A 20109-nucleotide genomic window follows, 5' to 3' on the forward strand; every position below is an offset into this window, starting at 1 on the left:
CCACGTACACACCATGACAACTTTTATTGCCCTCAAGAGAAACTCCAGTCCACCTGCTCCACCCACCCTCCTGCGGGACCAAAGAAAACACCCAGAGGGCAAAACAAAAAGGGGCTCAAACCAACAGGAAGTCAGCCCCACCGCAAGCCGGACTACAACTAACTCGTGCTCTCCACGCTCAGGCGTGGAAGCCAAGGCTGTGCCAGGCCTGGCCAGGCCAAGCAGGATGACAGCAAACGCATTCTGAACGTGTAGCAATCAGGTCCCCTGTAATGTGCTTGGAGAGTGTGGACAAGGGCCGAGATGACGAGCTATGAGCTGTGGAAGGGAATGGGGGAAGCAGAAGGGCACAAACAGAAGTACTGGAGGGAGAGGCCGGGCTCTCAGGAAGCAGCAGGCACGTGCCAGGTGGAAGCCAGCTGCAGGCAGGGGAGGAAGGAGGCCCTTACTCTTCCTTCTTGTCCATGGGACCATCTACTGCAGCCTGGAAAGGGACAGAAATCCCACAGCAGTAGGTTGGCCGGGTCCACTCCTCCCCTGCCACCTCCAGCCCCATGCCCCAGAGGTCCACCTCGGTTCCCCTCTCTCCTAACAACAGCTATTCAAGTGAACAAGGGGCCCCCTCCCCAGCTGCACCCAAAGGCCTGCCAGGGTGGGAGCGTCAGCCCTGGCCCACGCTCTAGGGAAAGCCCTGGACCTAACGCCAGCCAGGGAGGACTGCCAGGACCTCACTGGGGGCTGAGTCCTGGCTGCAGGGAACAGCAAGGCATCCAGTCCCCTTCAAGACCTGATCAGACCCTTCCCAACTCTGCACACCTTTGACAGGTGCCCTCGAAGCCCATCTGCCAAGCCTGCCCCATACAGAGGGCATGGGTGCCCCCTTTGAGGCTGGACCCTTCCTCCCCACCTGCTGTGGTGCCCAAACTTGGGCCACCAAGCACTGAGGCCAGCTGTCCAAAGTTAGGAGTATTTATGTGGCCCTCACTCCCAACGTCAAGACCGCCTGGGCTTCCAGATGCGGCCTGGTGCACCCAAGCTAGTCTGAGGACTCAGATCAGGCCTAGGGCAGCAGGTGATGGCCACAACTAGCGCCTGCTAGGGAAGGTGCCTTTTTGACACCTTGTGCCCTCACTTGCCCAGGGATCTTTGCCCTACGTCACTCCCCAGCACCCTAGGAAAGAAGGCCAGCAGTGGGTCCCAGAGTTTCACCTGCTTCTTTGTTCTTGACCAGGCCCCAAACCATGGCTGCGCCTGAGCACGAAGGTAGGAAGGCTCAGAGCCTAGTGAGCCAGTGCCACTCCTGAGGGCCGCCTTGGCAAGTGCCTACATCTGCTGCCAGGCCACCCCCCTCCTGCCCGGTGAAGGGTCCCACTCAGTAGGGCAGAGGTGGCCAGGGGGAGTGGTGGAGAGGGCAGCCAGCCCCTGGGCCCCTGGAAGGTTCCCTCCGCACCCGCAGGGGCTGCCTCATCCTGCTCTGCTCTCCTGCCCTGGGCGCAGCAATACGGGAGGGCTGACCTGCAGCTTTGCGTGCTCCTCCAGCAAGCGGTCGTACTCCTTGGTGAGGCCCTCAGACTGCTTCCGCATGGCCAGAACCTGGTTTTCAGCTTTCTCTAGTTCTTGAAATGATGTAAATGACCAAGAAAACAGAAACGAAAAGACAGGAATTAGGGGGAAAAAACCCGACTGCTACAGACACCAGAAACTGGCCCAAATCTATCTCAAACGAGGTTATACAGGAGGCTACTTCTCAAAATAAAGCCCCTCTGCTTTTGCAGGCCCCCAAAGTAGAGGGAAAGGGCTGACAAAAAAGCTCAAGATAAAGCAAAAGAAACACAGAGGCCATCCCCCAGTCCCTTTAATGGAGAGGAACTCTAGTGGCTCTCGGCAAGGGTAACCTCCAGGGAGGCTGAGAGTGGGAGACAGGGAGCAAGATCCCAGCCTGCAAGCGAGACCCAATGACAACCACGCCTTGCACACAGCAGCAGCAGGCGAGGCCTGTGGTATTGGGGGAAAACGCCCCAGACTTAAGTCTATGCGTGGGAGACCAAAGACAGGCAGGCCGCTTGGGAGCCGCCCACTCCCCTCCTGAACGCCACTCCCACACTCCCCTCATTCTCAGCCCCCAGGCATGCTGGGGCTACCGTGCCACACTCTGGACGGGAAAGCCCCAGCATGCACTGCTCTAGTGCAGGGCAATCGAGGCCCACCAACTGCAGCCTGGTTCCTCCTGAGCCCCATTCAAACCACTTAGCCTCACTGGCCTGCCGGCTAAGCATGGCTGCATTGGGGTTGGAGGCGCAGGGTGCTATTGGTCTGTTTTCAGCCAGCCCTCGAGCGTGCGTGCAAGGCTTGTTACTAATACTTTGGCACAAAATGGGCAGCAGCGGGCAGAGGAGGCTCCTCTGGACTTCCCTGCGGGGAAGGACACGAGGTCGAGCCTCACTTTGCTTAGTGCTGGCCAGCTCGTCCTTTAGCTTCTGCAGGTCAGCCTTCAGGCTCCTGTTCTCTTCCTCCAACTTCACCTCAGCATTCCCGACATCCAACTTGCCTCCGTCAACAGCAGCTCCCTGGGAAAAGTGCCAAAGGCCAGGGTTACTCAGGAGGGAGGGAGGGAGAGGTTCCAGCCCCATCCTCCCCACCGAGCTGCGGTTCCTCAAGCTGCCCTGGCCACACGCCCCTTCGGAAATGTCAACGCGGAACCGAGCCACCACTTGCTCCCAGCTCCTAGGCAAAGGCCAGGGCGTGGCTGCCCGCCGAGGGAAAGAGAAGCGCCAGCGGGGCCACCTGCTGCAGCTCGCCGGGCACGCCTTGCCTGCCCTGGCCCCTGGCCCCTGGCCCCTGGCCCTGCCTCCTTCCCAAGCAGCAGGGCTCAGCAGCTCCATGGTGCTCACCAACCCCTCCACAGATGGCGGTGCCTCGTGCTCCCTACATGGTGCCGCTCACTGCAGTTAGGAGCCCCCAGTCGGCCTGGCCAGCTCTATCCCACCTCTGCATCCACATCCCTCCGAGCTTGCCTTGCAGCTCACCTCCTGACGGGACGTCTAAGACTGGCCAACTACCCTGCCCCCACCTCCTCTCCAGCACTGAGGGATGCCACAGACCCCGAGTTCCAGAGGGGGTGCGGCAATCTTGCAGGGAACAAGGGCCTAGCTGAGGGCCTTCGGATCACAGCAGAGGGCCTGGCTCACTGAGGGGCCATTTTTCTCAGGGAAGGGTCTAACTGGAAGCAGTGGATGGAAACGAGAGCAGCAACACCCTCCTCCTCACCCGGACCCTCACACACAGACGCCTCCAGCAGGCATACTCTCCCCACTGAGGACTTCCCCTCTGCGCCTCCACCCAACTCTGGCTTTTCAGGCACATTTCCCAGCGTGACAGGCTAGCAGTGGCCACTGAGGCCCTGAAGAATGTGGCTCCCACAGTGTAACACCAGGACGCCCCATGGTGGGTCGGGAAGCTGGGCTCACCTTCTTGAGCTGGTCATTCTCCTCCATGTACTTCTTGGCCGCCTCACTAGCACTCTCCGCCTGCTTTTTAAAGGCTTCATTGGAGGCCAGCAGCGTGGCCTGCTGCGAAATGAGAGTCACCAGGCGTCTAAGCAGGCTGCAATTATTTACAAAAAGAAGGGAGAAGTGAGAAAAAGAGCATGAAGGGCTGGCAGGAGCACCTCCTGGTTGCTCCCACTCCACACCTAGCTCCAGCCTGGACCTGCCCTCTTGCCAAGGCAGCCGAGTGAGAAGCCGCCAACCTGGTGCTGGCAGCGTGAGGGAAAAGGTGGGGCCCAGGAGCCGTCCTCTGCCGCTGTGCCCAACGGCCACCCTCAGCTCTCAGAGGGGCTGGAAGCAGGAGCCTGGGGGGCTGGGAAGAGCCTCGCTACAGCATGAGGTCCCAGAACGCGGCACTTTCCGGGTCGGGGCCTAGACGTGCCAGACAAGCCACAGCACCACCTTCCTCCCTGCGAGGCTGGGCTTGCCTTGGTAAGGTAACGAGAGAAGCTAATCAATCCAAGCACTTCCAACATGCCAGGCCGCATCCTCACATCTACCTGATGAGGAAGTTACTATCACTGCCCCAGCTTATAGAAGAGGAAACTGAAGTTCAGCAGCGTAAATCAATGTACCCAAGGCCAAAAACCAGAAATGGACATGGCTGGAATTCCAAATTATGTCTGCCTGACTCCAGAACCTGAGCTCGGAACCACTCTGCTCTCTAAACTAACAGGGAACAGCTCCCAGGTCCCAACGTAAGATAGAACTCTCTTCTCTGGCCAGCCTCCTTCCCAACCCATCATGCAGGCTGCGCTGGAACACATCCGTTATGTAACAGCACCCCGAATGAGGTCTTCTTGGGCTGGAGGGTGTAGAGGAATCAGGACACAGGCGCAGGCTGCCTCTCTGAAGCAGCCAGGAGAGACAGGCAAACAGGTGGCAGCTGGAGGCAGATGCTAGTCCCCAAACAGAGATTGGAATGGCCACTTCATTTCCCTTGGTTCACCCTTGCCCCGAGATGTTAGCTGGCAGGAAGAGAGGAGGGAAGGACTCGTTCAAACAGTCAAAACAAGGCAGGGGTTCCTTTCTCACACACCTCAGAAGGCAAGGGTCACACAGGGCCTGGGGGAAGGAAGAGACAAATCTGCTTAGTCCAGAGTGCTTCAACAACAGCTTACTCAGAAGAGTCGAAGTGGCCTCCTGCCCCAGCCAGGCCTTCACACTTCACAGCCTCTGCTCATGGCCAGGGGCAGCCCGGAAGGGCTGGAGAAAGTAAAGAGCAGACAAGGTGAGCTACCTCCCTGGCCCAAGCCATGGCTCTCCAGGGCCTCGGCAGAGCCCCTTTCCAGATGTACTCAGGACAGAAAGTACCCACCCGGGCCAGGAGACACCCCTGAGGTTCCTGGTTTGGGGAGAGGCTCCCAGGGGCCCCTGGCAGCACCAGGAGAGCCAGGCCGTTGATTCCTGGCAGAGAAGGAGAGTTTCCAGTGACATGTGCTTTCTAAAATTAGCGGCCCAGGACCTCGTGGCCTAGGGCTCAGGTTTCCCTGCCTCAGCCCCCAGCTGCCCACCAGCCTGCCCCGCACTGGGCTACAGCCTGAAGGTGGAGGAAGCTACTGAGCGCCCTAGGAGCCAGAGAGAAACAATGCATCTGACTCACATCGGCATGGCCAGAAGTCAATGGAGAGGCCTAGAAAGAAAGGCAAGTCTGACTAAGACCCAGGCCCCCGGCAAGGAGCTGCCCAGCCCCAGAGCGGATCCCAGTGATGTAGAAAGAGGAAGAGGACCGCTCCTCCCAGCTGGAATTGAGGGGTGGGGGTCATGCCACCTGGTGGTAGAGAGAGGACCAAGCAAGACTGAAGGCTATACTCCCCGCCACCAGGCCAGGCAAGCGGCTGCTGGTGAGTGCCCATGGCTGTCACCCCAGTACCCAGGGAGATAGCTAACACAAATGCTTCCGCGGCAGTGCAGCAGAGGCCCAGCTCTTTTCGGACCGTCCCAGGCCCTTCCCGGCTATTGAGAACCAGGGCTTCCAAGATAGGCCAGGGCATACACAAAGTCCAGCGCAAGATCCACGCTGTGTGTGTCCGAAAGCCTGGCCCTGCTCAGCCCCAGCCCAGGCCTTCAGTTCCCAGCCTTGAGACAGTCTGGGGCTCCCCTCTGCCAGGCCCCGGTTCCCCTTCCTCTTGCCAACCCTCACAGGCGCTCCCCACCCCCACAGCACCCCGGGCATACTCCTCCCACTGCACCCCCAGCCCGATAGTTCTTTTTCACACCTTCTAGGTCCTCTCTCTTCCTGCTGGATGACCCGGGATCATTCTCCCCCCAGGAACCTCACCTTCAACTGCCTCCTTCCTGGAGTCACCCTGCCCAAGCCCCTGGTCTTTTCCCTCCCATATATTCCTCAACCTAGGCTGGCCAAGGCCTGCCCTTCCAAGCCAGCAGCAGGGCCACCAGTGGCCTCCTAACCGCCCAGGCCGGAGGTCACCCTGAACTCCTTGCTCTGCTGCTAAGTTACCCTCCTGAGGTCCCCTCGCAACACCCTCCTCCCACTGTTATTCTGCTCCCTCTGGGGTCTGCACTCTTCAGCTGACACCCTATACCTTCCTCCCAGCCACTCTTATCCCCGAAAGGGTTTTCTCTGTGGCCCAGACTCATACCTAACCTCCTGCTAAACATTGGCTCCTGGATGTCCCCAGAGACATTCTAGACTCAGCTTGTCCAAAACGGGCCTTCCCTTGTCCTGCCTGACCTGACCACCTCGTGTAGCCCCTGCTGTAGTGGTGGGCAGGCAAACCGCCTTGGACTCAGCCCTCTTGGCCCCCAGCCCAAGCCACAACCCAGCACTTTCCATGTCAACTGCAAACATGCCCACCATCATCCCCACTGCTGGCGCCTCCTCCCTATCTGCTGCCATACGGCTTTCCCATCCACCTCCCAGAGCAAGGCAAATCCGACCATGTCAGCCCTCTGCTTAAGCCACCTGCTGCCAGCACGCATGCCCTCAGTGAGCTCTCCTCCTTCACTAACCACGTGGCCCCCTGCTCTAGTAACACCTAACCCCTCACCATTCCTGGAACACGCCTGGCTCTGTGTGGCAGTTCTCCAGGCCGGAATGTCCTCTCGACCCAGCTCAATCCTCACCTCCCCCCAGAAACCCTTTTGGATCTCCCACCCCATCAGAGGGACGCCTTCTGGGGGCTCCTGCAGCAGCCCCCCAGGCACCCGCATGTAACTACCTCATTCTCTGTTCTCTGCGTGGCTGCCATCCGTTTATATGGCTGCCCTACCAGGCTATGAAGGTCTTTAGGCTGGGCACTGTGCCTTCATCTCTGCACTCCCATACCTGGCACACTGAAAAGGGGTCTTCCGCCCACTCCAGCAAGTATAGCTAAAAAAAAAAAGGGGGGGAGGGCGCGGGGCTGGGCTTCCAGATGACTGGATCCCACTCCCAGGAGAGGAAATGCTCCCTGACAGGTGAGGGGACAGATTTGAGGCTGCACGTAAGGCTGGACAGAATCTCCCTGGGCCTAGACTGCACCTGTGTTCACCTGGGAGCCTGGCACCAAGAGGGGCAGAGGCAGACACAGAGCTGCTCAGTCTAGCAACAGAGGAGACAGAAGACAGGAGTGGGAAGGCGCCGTCTCAGACCCGTTCTGATGGGCAAGCCAGGCTCATGGCTGCAGGGGGAAAAAACATTCACTGCCGCGACCTGAAGGCACAACCCAGAGCTCCAGCCTCTGCATCCTCACACCCTCAACCCCCACCCAGGGCCCAAGCAATGCAGACCAGGTCCTCTCTGATCACTGGCATTTTTCAGCCTGGGAGCCAGCCTTCTAGAACATTTTCCCGCTCCCTCACACTGGGTCACTCAGGCACGTTAACGTGCGCTTGTCTGTTCCCTTGTAGCTTCCCAGGCCCCCAGGACAGGGCACGAACATGGCCTTTAGCTTCTGCCTCTGCTGGATCTCCCAAGTAGTCTTACCCGAATCACTGTTCTTAGCTATTCATTTCCAGAAAACAGGAAAGAACCTAAGAGCCAAAGGCAACTCCTACAGATACAGGGTGGTCACCAATAGAATGGCCTGGGGTCCAAAAAAAGGCCAGTGAACGAAACTTAACAGAATCCAGATGTGGCCTTGGAAGACACATGGCAGCCCCAATGCCTCAATCTGACTGGGCTTTCTTGATAGAATGTTGTTGGACACTGAGCAGGGCTATCGTGCTTTTATAAAAGGTTGAGTAAACCAGAGAAGGCAGGAGAAACAGAACCTCTCCACAGACTAGAGAAACAGGGCCAACCATATCAAATGGAGAGAGCCATGGCTCATAAGCACTTTTCAGCAGCCCTGTCTTCCCCCATGAGCAAGGGGAAGAGGACACGGGCTTAATAGGAAATGGAGAAGGAGCAAGTCCCGACCAAAAGATTCCATGCTGTGGCCACCCCCGGCCCGCCCTGCTGACGGGTTTCAGGCGAGTCAAGTCATTCAACCCCCAGCCCCTGCATACACATGGTGTTCACATAAGCTCACTCCTCAGCCCCCAGCCGGCAGAAAGCCGGTGTCCCAGCGCCACCTGCTGACTTTCCAGGCCTACCGCAGGGTGGCCAGTGGACTCTGGGTGAACACGCCCCAGCTGTGGAAGAAAAAAAATGAGGCAGCGCCCAGGCAAGGAAGCAAGTCAGGTGACGCCTCAGGAAGGCTTCAGTGAAGAAGAATGACTAACACCAGGGCTTCCACTGCCCTCAGCGACTCTTACCCACCAGTCTGGAATCAGGAAAACAGGTTACAACTGGGAGAGTCACCTAGAGCAGACCCGAGAAGGCTGCCCCAAAGGGCTGCCCCAAGTCCATTTTGGTACAGCTGCGTGGCCTTCCCTGTAGCCTCCCAGCACACAGACGCTGGAGAAGACGGGAAGAGGAGGGCTAGAGCTGGGGGAAATGGAGGCCGTTTCAAATGAGAACATGACTTGTGGCAGCTCCAGCCCACGACCCAGATGGAGCTCACCCATCCTGAGGACAGTGCACTAAGCGCAGGGCAAAGGGGCAGGTGTGGGTCTGGCCTGTCCTCCCTTCTTCTTGAGAACAAGTGACACAGACCAGCTGGGTTTCTGGGGTTTTGCTGTGTATCTTTTTTAAAACCAGCTATCTGAGGGGTTTGGGGTAAGCTGGAGGGTAGAGAGCAACCGACTGAGGTAAGACAACTTAGGCAAAGGTAGTCTGTGATTAGATGACTCAACCTAAAAAAGAAGAAAAAGCAGCTCAGCAGAGAAGCACGGGCAGCTCCATCTGGGCTAATGGCAGCGATGGGATTCTACCCTGGAGGGGTAAAGAGGAAACAAAAGATGCCTGTGGATCAAGTTCAGGTCAGCAAAAATTCAGGGGGCTTCCACACAAACAGGGGCCTTCCTGCGACTGGCTGCTAACCAGCACTTTGGGCCTAACCTTGACCGTCATTTAAGCTGAGTAAGGCAGAGAAGGCAGTGCAGGTCCTCTGAACACACAAACCCCAGCCCAGAGGGAGCTGCCGTCCCCAACACACTCCAAGACTCAAGAGGGCCTCTCGCTAGCTGTGCCCCCGAAGTGCAAGGTTGGCAGGAAGGGAACAGGAGCGACTGCCGGAGTCTTCCACAAGTGGAAACCAGTGGCTCATCCAGTGTGGTCCCCTGGAGGTGGCCCCGATGGACCCGCCTTCACAAACTGTCATAGCTCCTAAGACCTGAAAAGCTGGGCTTCTTGGCTAAAAAGCCCAACAAGTTCAACCCAGGCACGCACCTAAAGCTGTCGCCGTCAGCCCGGGACAGCCCATTCAGTCACCAAATGTTTCAGCGCCCTTCATATGTGCCAGGCCCTTGGCACTGAGCTGAACAGTCTGAAGGGGAAGAGCCCAGGTTTTCCACGATGGGCAACCCTGCCAAGTGCCACACCTCAGAGCTGCGTGTGCAGGCTGCCCTGGGACCCGAGGACAGCGCTATGGGTCAGCCGGGAACATGGTGTGGGCCCCTCGGAACAGGCTCCACAGGGAAGCCTCGGAGATTCACGAAGAGGAGGTGCCGGCTGGGCCGGCAGCTGGAGGGGGTGTTCCGCACAGAGGTCCCCAAAATGCTCAGAGAATCGAGTTGGGGGAGAGCATGTGTTACGTGAGGCTCTCCCATGAGACCCACATGACTGCTTCATGACAGGGGGAGGCCGAAGCAGAGACTGTGGGGGAGCCGCGTCCTGGAGGATCCATGTGATAGCGAGCCACTGGAAGTGGGGTGCACAGGCCAAAGGGGGGAAGGCAGGTGGCAGGGAGCCCGCTTGGTCTATACGGGATGGTGGTGGCCCCACCACAGCAGTGGTCCCAAGGGTTGTGAGAGAGAGGCTTAGGAGGTGACATCTACAGGCTGTTTCATGGGTGGAGTCCAGCTCTGCAGGCTGAAGACTTCTGGAGGTTGGCTACTTGACACCGTGAAAGCGCCTCACCCTGCTGGGCCACACACTGAGAAATGGCCACGATGGTTGGGCAGTCACATGGGACAAGAAGAAAGGGCAGAGCAGCCCCAGGCTTCTGGGTCAAGTGACAGGACTGAGACAGTAGTGGCAGAGGCAGGACAAAAGCTCAGAAGGCTTTGGCTGGGAAGCTGGGACTCTCCCACTGCTATCCCAGGCAGCAGCAGCAGACTATGGGGGGCCAAGGGTACAGACTTGCTTCTAGGTGTGATGTTTCCTTTCAGGCCAGGCCCCCTTTCCCAATTACAAAGGCTACTCGGGAGCTCTCAGGCTAACCTCCTATGTGTTCTGAGCCCAGTCCCGCTGAAAACTAGTGCCAAGCACCAGGCCTTCTCCAGAATGTGCTCCCCTCCTTGGCCACTAACCTGCTCACATCCTCCTTCTTGATCTTGCTTCCCTCTTCCTTCTGCTCCCCGATCTTCTATCGCTCTGCTGGAGGCTGGAATCCATCCTGCCAGCACATTCCCTTTGCCCTGGCCTCAATGCCTCTGAAGCCAGCAACCCAAGCTCGACTGCCCGGAAGCACCCTATCCTGCTCATCTGCCAGGCCTCCCCTGCTCAACCCTGCTCTCCCTGTCCCCTCCTTTCCTTGCTGCCCCCAGGCCTGGCCAGAAGTCCCACTCTGCAACCAGCCCTCACACCTAGCACGATAGTGTTACTCCATGGGCAGCCAGAGCTCCCTTTCCAGCAGGGGGCTGCGTCCTCGATTCCGCAAGTCCACAGCAGAACCAAGATCATCTCAGACTCCCAGAGACTGGAAAAGCCTGCTGATTCAACTCCACCTGGGCCTCTCAGCTCTGTCCCCTCCACCCCACTTCTACTACCACTGTACCACTGCCCCCGTTCAGGTTCCCAGCAAGTCTCACTGACAACCTCCAACTTGGTCTCCCCACTTCAGGCTCTCCTGCTCCACTCCAACCCATACACCCTTGCAAAATGTTAATCCACACAGGTGACTGCATGCCAGCAGTACTGGAATACCCACTAGGCAGGCTCTCTACCACGCAGAAAAGTTGCATACGAAGTCTGGAACCCTTAACTCCTAACCATCTAACCTGCTCGGGCCATGAGTACCTGCTCGCGCCATGAGTACCTGCTCGCGTTCAAGAACTGAGCCTCTCAGTGGGACATAAAGAACATGGAAAGAAAGAGAGGTGGGTGTGGTGGCTCATGCCTGTATTCCCAGCACTTTGGGAGGCCGAGGTGGGCAGATCACATGAGGCCAGGAGTCAGAGACGACCAGCCTGGCCAACAGGGCAAAACCGTCTCTACTAAAAATACAAAAATTAGCCAGGCGTGGTGGCATGTGCCTGTAGTCCCAGCTACTTGGGAGGCTGAGGCATGAGAACTGCTTGAACCCAGGAGGAGGAGGCTGCAGTAAGCCAAGACTGTGCCACTGCACTCCGGCCTCAGCGACACAGAGAGACTCTGTCTCAAAAAAAAAAAAAAAAGAAAGAAAGAAAGAAAAAGAAAAAGAAAAAAATCAACAGCAACAAAAAAGAAAGAGACAGATAATAGGAGTGGCATGGGTGCTCCAAGAGGATCAGGAGGCCCAAAGAAAGCTGACTAGCTGAGGCCACTGTTTATGACATCAGAAACAGAGCTGCAGGCTCGACATCCACCAATGAGGAATTGGGTAGACACTCAAGAACACTCAAGAACGCTGGAGAGGCCAGGCACAGTGGCTCATGCCTGTAATCCTAGCACTTTGGGAGGATGAGGTGGGAGGATTTCTTGAGCCCAGCAGTTTGAGATCAGCTTGGGCAACAGAGCAAGACTCTGTCTCTACAAAAAATTAAAAAATTAGCAGCACGTGGTGGCACATGCCTATAGTCCCAGCTACTCGGGAGGCTGAGGCAAAAGGGCGGGGCTGCAGTGAGCCATGATCACACCAATGCACTCCAGCCTGGGTGATGGAGCGAGACCTTGTCTCAAAAAAAATAAATAAATAAATAAATAAATAAATAAATATGCTGGAAACAGGTCAGTTGTCCCAGAAAAACATTCATGATAAACTGAGTAGAACACTCAAGTCACCAAGGGGCATTTAAAGCATGTGGTGCTTAAAAGCCCCGTGGTTAACTTTTTTTAAACACGGGAATGTTTTTAAAAAGCATGTGGAGGCTGGGCGTGGTGGCTCAGCTGCCGCACTCTCCCGTGTTCCCATCCAGTAGCCTGATCCAAAAAAGCCATGAGGTTGGTCTTGCGTGACTTCTTAGAAAAGGAAACGGTGATCCCAGAGATCAGTGTGGATTCACCAGTTGCCCATAAGCGATCTAGTTAATCATTTCTGGAATTTTGCCAGAAATATATACTCCTTGCTAGTCTAAGAGTTAAATCTAAGATGGTGGCTGTGACCCTAGAGGACCTTGGCTTTCTGTGTGATGCTCTTGTCCAGCCTTATGGCCACACAGCCCATTTGCAGCTTGCAGGAAACACTGAAAAAACAAAGCAGGCCAGGCGCGGTGGCTCACGCCTGTGATCCCAGCACTTTGGGAGGCTGAGGCAGGCAGATCACCTGAGCTCAGGAGTTTGAGACCAGCCTGGCCAACATGGTGAAACCCCGTCTCTACTAAAAATACAAAAAATTAGCAGGGCATGGTGGCGGGCGCCTGTAGTCCCAGCTACTTGGGAGGCTGAGACAGGAGAATGGCGTGAACCCGGGAGACAGAGCTTGCAGTGAGCCGAGATCGAGCCACTGCACTCCTGCCTGGGCGACAGAGTGAGACTCTGTCTCAAAAAAAAAGAGTGAGCCCCCTAAGGCTTCTATGTGTATGTGTGGATAGAGCCAATCCACATGGCAGCCACTCATGTGGGTTAGGACCACACCTAACTACACTGTTCTGCCAGCACCTTCCCCACACTTCGGCATCTGGTCGTTAAGAACAGACTCAGACTGGCAAGCATCATGCTAAAAATCCATCTACACTCCATCTATAGAAGGCTGACAGAACTTCTCCAGGAATTCACAGCAGTCACCAATGATCCCGCTCTTCTTTTCCAAAAGCATACAAGCTATTCTTTCTAGAGCATGGCTGGAGATCAAAGTCAACCCTCCCCAGGTCAATTCCTCATCTACCTTCTCCTCCCTTTGGAAATTGGGATGTTTGCCAGGCTGCAGTCTGCCAGTATCTCTCCCACTCTGCAAATCCTCAAGCATCGGTGGCAATGCCTTCTGCAGATGATCTCAACAGCTTCTGGACATAATCTCATCAAGTACATCCTTTAGGGATGCCACTCTTGCCCACCTGTAATTTCCATTTTCTCATCCTAGTGTTTCCTTTGCCCTTGACCACCTACCCTCCATCTCCTTCCTTACACAGACATATAAAAGGGACTGCCTTCTCCTCACTTCTCCATGTCTTTCATGATTCAGAGCTCCCGGCAGGTTTTCACCTTCCCGATACTATTCTTTTTTTTTTTTTTTTTTTTTTTTGAGATGTCACCCAGGCTGGAGTGCAGTGGTGTGATCTCGGCTCACTGCAACCTCTGCCTCCCGGGTTCAAGCAATTCTCCTGCCTCAGCCTCCCGAGTAGCTGGCACTACAGGCACCTACCACCAAGCCCAGCTAATTTTTTTGTATTGTTAGTAGAGACTGGGTGTCACCATGTTGGCCAGGCTGGTCTCGAACTCCTGACCTCAGGTGATCCACCTGCCTCGGCCTCCCAAAGTGCTGGGATTACAGGCCTAAGTCACCGCACCCAGCCCACCCCTCCCCCATACCATTCTTAAAGCTCTAGATGCTTTTCTGGTAGATGGCCTAGTTTCCTCTCTTTCCCTCTCAATGTGGTCTTTTTTCCTCATTTTGCTGACTGTCACACTCAGAATTCTGGGTTTGAGACTCAGTCTTTCAGATCTGCTTCCCTTTCAGCCTCAGACCACAAGATAATACTTGTTTGGAACTTCCTGAAAAATTTAGGGTATGTGTCTGACTCCTCCCAGCCTTCCTGACTTTCCTAAGTTTGAAGACAGCAAGCTTGTAGATCAAATCTGTGATCAAACCCATTATCTTGAAAAAAATGTGTTTGCCTTTTCTAGCTCCACCCCTCTTTCCAACTTGGTCGCAGAGAGTACCAGATCATCTAAACAACAGATTTTAAGACAAGTAGTCATCGTAGCGCCTAGTAAAGCAGGACACACCAGGTGACTAGAGAGCAAGAATCTCCTAGGCATGGAGATTCTTGAGTCTCGGGGCACAAAACCAAGTGGGGAATAACTGTCCATGAGCCTGAGAATCACTTGGTGCTATGGTCTGAGTGCCCTTCAAACTTCATGTGTTGGAATTTAATCCTCACTGCCGTAGCATTAAGAGGTGGGGTCTTTTGAGAAGTGATTAAGTGATGAGAGCTCCACCCTCAAAGCAAGCGCCTTTCCAATGCCTTCATACATGGTCTGAGCTCCCATCCACCTCCCAGCCAGGCCCTGCTGATCAGAACGGCTATGTGAAGCAGGAGGCAGCAAACAGGGCCCCAGGCTCAAATAGGCACTTCGTAGTGGTCTAGTTTTGCCCGACTAGTTACCCTTAGCCTTGATTAAGGTACTTAGTTTTACCAAAAAAATCATCAGAAATACTCTGGCTGCCATGGAATGTAACATGTCCTCATTACGAGTTTCACGTGGGGAAGGCCCTGAGGTGAGGAGAGGCCCAGCCTCTTCGTGCCACTTTTACCTGCTGTCCCTAGGTCAACACCCCGGACACAAAGAGTCCCCCATTCAGTCGCTCCCTTGTGAGCTGGACTCTGAAGGTCCTCTCCCAGAGGAGGGCAAGGCCTTACCGTTACATCTCACTCTCCATGCAAACAGACCGTGAGATAGTCATCTGTTTGCCTGAGAGTATGTGGTGTGTGAGGGTCTTCTGATATTTCAGGCAGCCCTCTCCTACTCTCCACGCTGCCTCTGGAGGTCAGGAGAAAACTATGTGGCTTCCCTAACACAGACAGGGCTTTGGGATCCAGGCCACAGACTGAGGAGGAATCAAAGTCACAGGGGGGAGACTGAGCCCACTGAGCTCGGTGTCCATGGCTAGCCCATGGCTCCTTTCACAGCACCTGCCCCCTCAACCCCCCACTCACAAGGACAGCAGCAAGGAAAAGCCAGCAATGTAGAGATTCCTCTGGGCACGGAAAAGCTTCATGTGGAAGTGCTCCATGGCCCCGGGATTGTTCTGGAGGTTCACCTTTTCCGTCACATCATCATACTTCCGAATTTCGCGCACGGCATCTGTGGTGGAGCAGAGAGGAGACACGGGCATTTAGCGGACACTAGGGCAAGATAAGGCCATACCAGGCAGACAGGCGGCATGAGACAGGTCAGACTCACTTCCCTCAAATCCGCCTCCCCAGTTCTTCCCACTTCTATGCACATACACCCCTCATGGGATGCTGTTATCAGAAGCTCCCACCCTCAGGCCAGGTGCAGTGGCTCACGCCTATAATCTCAGCACTTTGGGAGGCAGAGGCGGGCAGATCACCTGAGGTCAGGAGTTCGAGACAAGCCTGGCCAACATGGCAAAACCCCATCTCTACTAAAAATACAAAAAAAAAAAATTTAGCCCGGCGTGGTGGTGGGCGCCTGTAATCCCAGCTACTCGGGAGGCTGAGGCAAAAGAATCATTTGAACCCGGGAGGCGGAGGTTGCAGTGAGCCGAAATTGAGCCACTGCACTCCAGACCGGGGGACAAGAGCGAAACTCCATCTCAAAAAAAAAAAAAAGGAAGCTCCCACCCTCAGACCCACTCCTTCCTCCAGCTTTTCAATCCCTGGCCCCATTCTACACAGGCCCCAGGCTTGCTCTGCAGTTCACGATGCTAACCAAGCCTAAAGAGTTTCTGGAAATGGGGGTGGCTTCCTTTTCCCATGGTACCCTCACCGCGTCTTGTTCTGTTCATCTCAAGTTGGCCCATAGCCCCCCAACCCCCACAATGATAAGTTGAACCTGGAGATGGAAATGCCTGCTCCGGGGACCTAAGGTGCTTAAGAGTCAAGACCCAGGCCAGATGTGGTGGCTCACGCCTGTAATCCCAACACTTTGGGAGGCCAAGGCAGGAAGACTGCTTGAGGCCAACGAGTTCAAGACCAGCCTGGGCAACACAGGGAGACTCTCTCTCAACAAAAAAAAAAAAAAAAAAAAAAAAAATTTTAAATAGCTGGGCATGGTGCTGCACACCTGTAGTCCCAGCTACTCGGGAGGCTGAGACAGGAAGATCGCTTGAGCCCAAGAGGTCAAGGCTGCTGTGAGTTACGATCACACCACTGCATTCCAGCCTGGGCGACAGAGCGAGACTCTGTCTCGAAAAAGCCAAAACAAAACAAGCAAACAAACAAAAAAATAGGAGTCAAGACCTGCAGGATACCAGCTAGGAGTCAAGGGTTTCATTTCAAAGCTTTACAATGGGTTTTATTATCTATAATGTTTTATTCTGATTACGAAAGGAATTCACACTCATCGAAAGTTCAAACACACCCAAAATGTAGAAACGGAAAGGATCCCATAACATAATCACATCTAGCAGTATATACAATAAAAATGTGGTCACATCTAAAGTCATTTTTAGTCACATTACACTGTTACCTGCTTCGTAATAGACATCCATCTCTGAAATTCTCTTTAAACACATTTTTTGGGTCCATCTCTCCCAAAGTAGACTACAAACTTCATAAGAGCAGAAATCTTTTATACTATATTCCCAGGGCCTGGGATAGCTCTGGGTGCAGAGTGGGCACTGAAATAATTGCTGAGTCAGTGAGCAGCCTCTGCTCCTGAAAGAGCCGCTGTTAGACATATAGAGCTCCAGTTAAAAATATATTTATATTTGTCTCTAATGTAGAAATTGAGCCACGCCAAACCTACTGCTTTTCCCCATGCATCCTGAGACATCGTTTTAAGTCAATACACTAAGATGTACCCAAAGAATGCTCTTAATAGACTCCCATATGAGAGGAGCAAGGTATCACTGTATGGGTATCGAGGTTCTTTTTGTATGGTGGGTTACAGGGTCTCACTCTGTCACCCAGGCTTGAGTGCAGTGGCACGATCCCAGCTCACTGCAACCTCCACCTCTCAGCCTCCCCAGTAACTGGGACCACAAGTGTGTGCTACCACACTCAGTTAATTTTTTCTTTTTCTATTTTTGGTAGAGACGGGGTTTCGCCATGTTGCCCAGGCTAGTTTCAAACTCCTGAGCGCAAGCAACTGCCTCAGCCTCACAAAGTGTGGGGATTACAGGCGTGAGTCAGGGCACTGGCCTCATGGGGTTCTTAATTTCCGGTTTTAGGCTGCTTAGTTTTTATGTTGATCTTGCATTATAAAAATCTGCCCATCCCTCAGCACCACGAAGCGAGTACTCTCAAACGCTGTTAGCAGGGGTAAAAACAGCACACCTGTATAAAATGCAAAATGTTCATACCCTCGGGTTCAACAATTCACCTCTGAAATTATCCCACAGAAGTATTTGCATAAATTTGCAATGATTCGAAGATGCTTATAAAGAATGGATTACGGCACAACCACATGAGAGAATACTACATGATCTTTAAGAAGAATGAGATTGCTATAAAAAGATGTTGGCCGGACACAGTGGCTCATGCCTGTAATTTCAGCACTTTGGGAGGCCGAGGTGGGCGGATCACTTGAGGCCAGGAGTTCAAGACCAGCCTGGCCAACACGGTGAAACCTCGTCTCTACTAAAAATACAAAAAATTAGCCGGGCATGGTGGCGGGCGCCTGTAACCTGCAGCTACTCGGAAGCTGAGGCAGGGGAAATCGCTTGAACCTGGGAGGCGGAGGTTGCAGTGAGCCAAGATGGCGCCACTGCACTGCAGTCTGGGCAACAAAGTGAGATTCCATCTCAAAAAAAAAAAAAAAAAAAAAAGATGTCTAACGTGCAGCAGGTAGAAAAAGCACAATCCAAAGTATTGGCTAGGCTCTGCTATGGACAGCAGTCTTATCTCAGAGCTGTGCTACCAGCTCAGGCGTGGAATGCTCCTCCTGCCATGTCCCAGCAGGAATGTGGAAAGAAACATAAATACTTTGTGTGTATGATCCCACCGTTGTAGACATTTTATTAAAGATGTCAGCATACAAAACCCCTCTGGAAATGCACAACAAAATACTCATGATGGTTACCTGTGGGAAATGGGATTATGGGGAGTTTAACTTTCTAAATTCAACTTTTGAATTTTTAAGAATAATTACCCATTATTTTTGTAATCAGAAAAACAAGATAAACATGTTTCCTTACACTGTCACCTGCATCCAGGAACCCCACCATCCTAAGGACCACCTTGGCCAATGACCAATAGTGGGGATGGGGGACTGAGCAATACTAACCCAAGTCCCACAGTAGAAACCAGCCCTCCCTGTCTCGGGCCTCAGCCCAGGTGGGAAGATCCTGCACCCTCAGCAACTCCATCCTCCAGGAGGATCTGCTCAACCCTCCCCACCCCCAAGCAAGGCCACAGCTCTAGCTAGTTATGCCCCTTACCCTTCACTAGTACCTGTGACTAACACTTCTGTTTGAAGAAGGCTCTGCAGATCTTTCTAGATTATGCTTCTTAACATGGGAGTAGGAAGCAGCCAGTCATCATGGCCATATGTCCCCCTAGAACTTCCAAGCAGTTCCCCGATCCCAAAAAAGAATGAAGGCTTTGTCAACTACTGGATTCCGCAAAGGATCTCTCCAGCCCACTCAGCTGCTCTAGGAAAGAAACATACTCCTTCTGGTTTGGGGAAGGGGCAAGACCCTGAGGGAATCATCCTCAGCATGGTCCCTCCCCTCCCCAGTTATTACCCCCACCCCAGACCCAAAAGCCAAAACACACATGCTCAGTTCAAAAACTCAGTGGCCTGGGGATGACACATATATTACCTACCTACTCCTGGCTTGGAGGCTGCTCAGGGCGAGAACCCTGGTTAGAAAGAGCTACTACCTCTTGGGGCCTTGCCAAGTATTTCAAGAACACTGAGGTGCTCAGGCAGCTGGCACCTACCCTATGTGGTTGGAAGCTGTCAGGTAACACTTGGCCTGTTCAGAGGCAGTCCAGCCTGAACATATCCTATCAGGCTCTGAGACATCAGGAAGGAGAAATGCCTAATGCTGAAGCTGGTGGGTGAGGCTTTGCACATTCCCCTGAACCACAGCCCCCCACCCGCTCAGTGTTTCTGCTGGGACTCGGTGGGAGGAGTGTTCCACGCCTAGGCAGGCACCACAGCTCTGAGACAAGAGTGGTGTCCACAGCAGAGCCAAGCCAATACTTTGGAGCCCAAACAGGGGGACATATCGATCACTTACCACAGCAAAACAACAAACATCTACCAGTCAGACAAGAGCTTTATTGATTCTTGTCTCCAGATGGTCACCCTACCACCTCATTGCAAAATGTCTGCCTTTCATCTTACCACCACCTGGCCTGGCCTTATCCCAGAGCCTGCTTGCCCTTGGACCAGTTTATCTTTCAAGCACCTGCTAGTGTACACCTCAATGTCAGAGTTTACAGAACTACAGAGCTGGAACGACCTGGGAAAACCTCAAGTCTAGCCCAGATGCAGAGAGGTCTAGGATCTCTCCCCAAGATATGCTGCCACACATCTCTGTGTTCTCCTCCTACTACTACAGGGAATGGCAGGACTTCACTGTGTGCTTGGTTGCTCAGTCCCCCATTAGAGGCCCTGCTCCAGGCAATTCTGCTGTTTAAGTGACTGGTGAGCAGCACTACTCAGACCAAGGTCACAGGCCAGTTAGCTTCTCTTGGCTTCAGTTCTAGAGTGACCTGAGGAGCAGCCTCAGAAACCTTAGGCGTCCCTCCTTCCAAGGTCTTGAAAAAAAGCAATGTAAGGTGGCCGTCATAAGCTGCATACAAACTGCTTGGTATAAGCCCACGCCCACTGCTAGAGGGGCCTCTTTTTTTTTTTTTTGAGATGGAGTCTCCCTCTTGTTGCCCAGGCTGGAGTGCAATGGTGCGATTTAGGCTCACTGCAACCTCTGCCTCGTGGGTTCAAGCAATTCTCCTGCCTCAGTCTCCCAAGTAGCTGGGATTACAGGTGCCCGCCACCACGCCCAGCTAATTTTGTATTTTTCGTAGAGATGGGGTTTCACCACGTTGGCCAGGCTGATCTCGAACTCCTCATCTCAGG

At 54.0% G+C, this 20109-nt stretch overlaps 1 protein-coding gene across 4 annotated transcripts in view, besides 2 other annotated features; it reads right to left on the minus strand.

Moving 5' to 3' along the window:
* Window positions 1-20109, minus strand: part of BCAP31 (B cell receptor associated protein 31) — a 23896-nt gene continuing 3787 nt past the window's right edge. For all 4 annotated transcript variants that reach the window (NM_001256447.2, NM_005745.8, NM_001139441.1 and 1 more), the window contains exons 4-8: window positions 15051-15198; window positions 3468-3603; window positions 2444-2567; window positions 1516-1616; window positions 1-484 (exon numbers count right to left, since the gene is read on the minus strand). In NM_001256447.2, the coding sequence (NP_001243376.1) occupies window positions 446-484; window positions 1516-1616; window positions 2444-2567; window positions 3468-3603; window positions 15051-15198 (548 nt within the window). In that variant the 3' untranslated portion in view covers window positions 1-445. The remainder of the gene's footprint in view (window positions 485-1515; window positions 1617-2443; window positions 2568-3467; window positions 3604-15050; window positions 15199-20109) is intronic.
* Window positions 6435-6935: an enhancer, noted in NCBI's record as "H3K4me1 hESC enhancer chrX:152972381-152972881 (GRCh37/hg19 assembly coordinates)". NCBI's record gives its function as "activates a minimal SCP1, AML or CMV promoter by ChIP-STARR-seq in naive H9 embryonic stem cells {active_cell/tissue: H9 hESC(naive)}" and the evidence as "EXISTENCE:reporter gene assay evidence [ECO:0000049][PMID:30033119]".
* Window positions 7923-8217: an enhancer, noted in NCBI's record as "tiled region #5891; HepG2 Activating DNase unmatched - State 12:CtcfO, and K562 Activating DNase matched - State 25:Art". NCBI's record gives its function as "activates a minimal TATA promoter and a strong SV40 promoter by Sharpr-MPRA in HepG2 and K562 cells {active_cell/tissue: HepG2 | K562}" and the evidence as "EXISTENCE:reporter gene assay evidence [ECO:0000049][PMID:27701403]".

Source organism: Homo sapiens, chromosome X (assembly GCF_000001405.40).
Source record: "Homo sapiens chromosome X, GRCh38.p14 Primary Assembly".
NCBI lineage: Eukaryota > Metazoa > Chordata > Mammalia > Primates > Hominidae > Homo > Homo sapiens.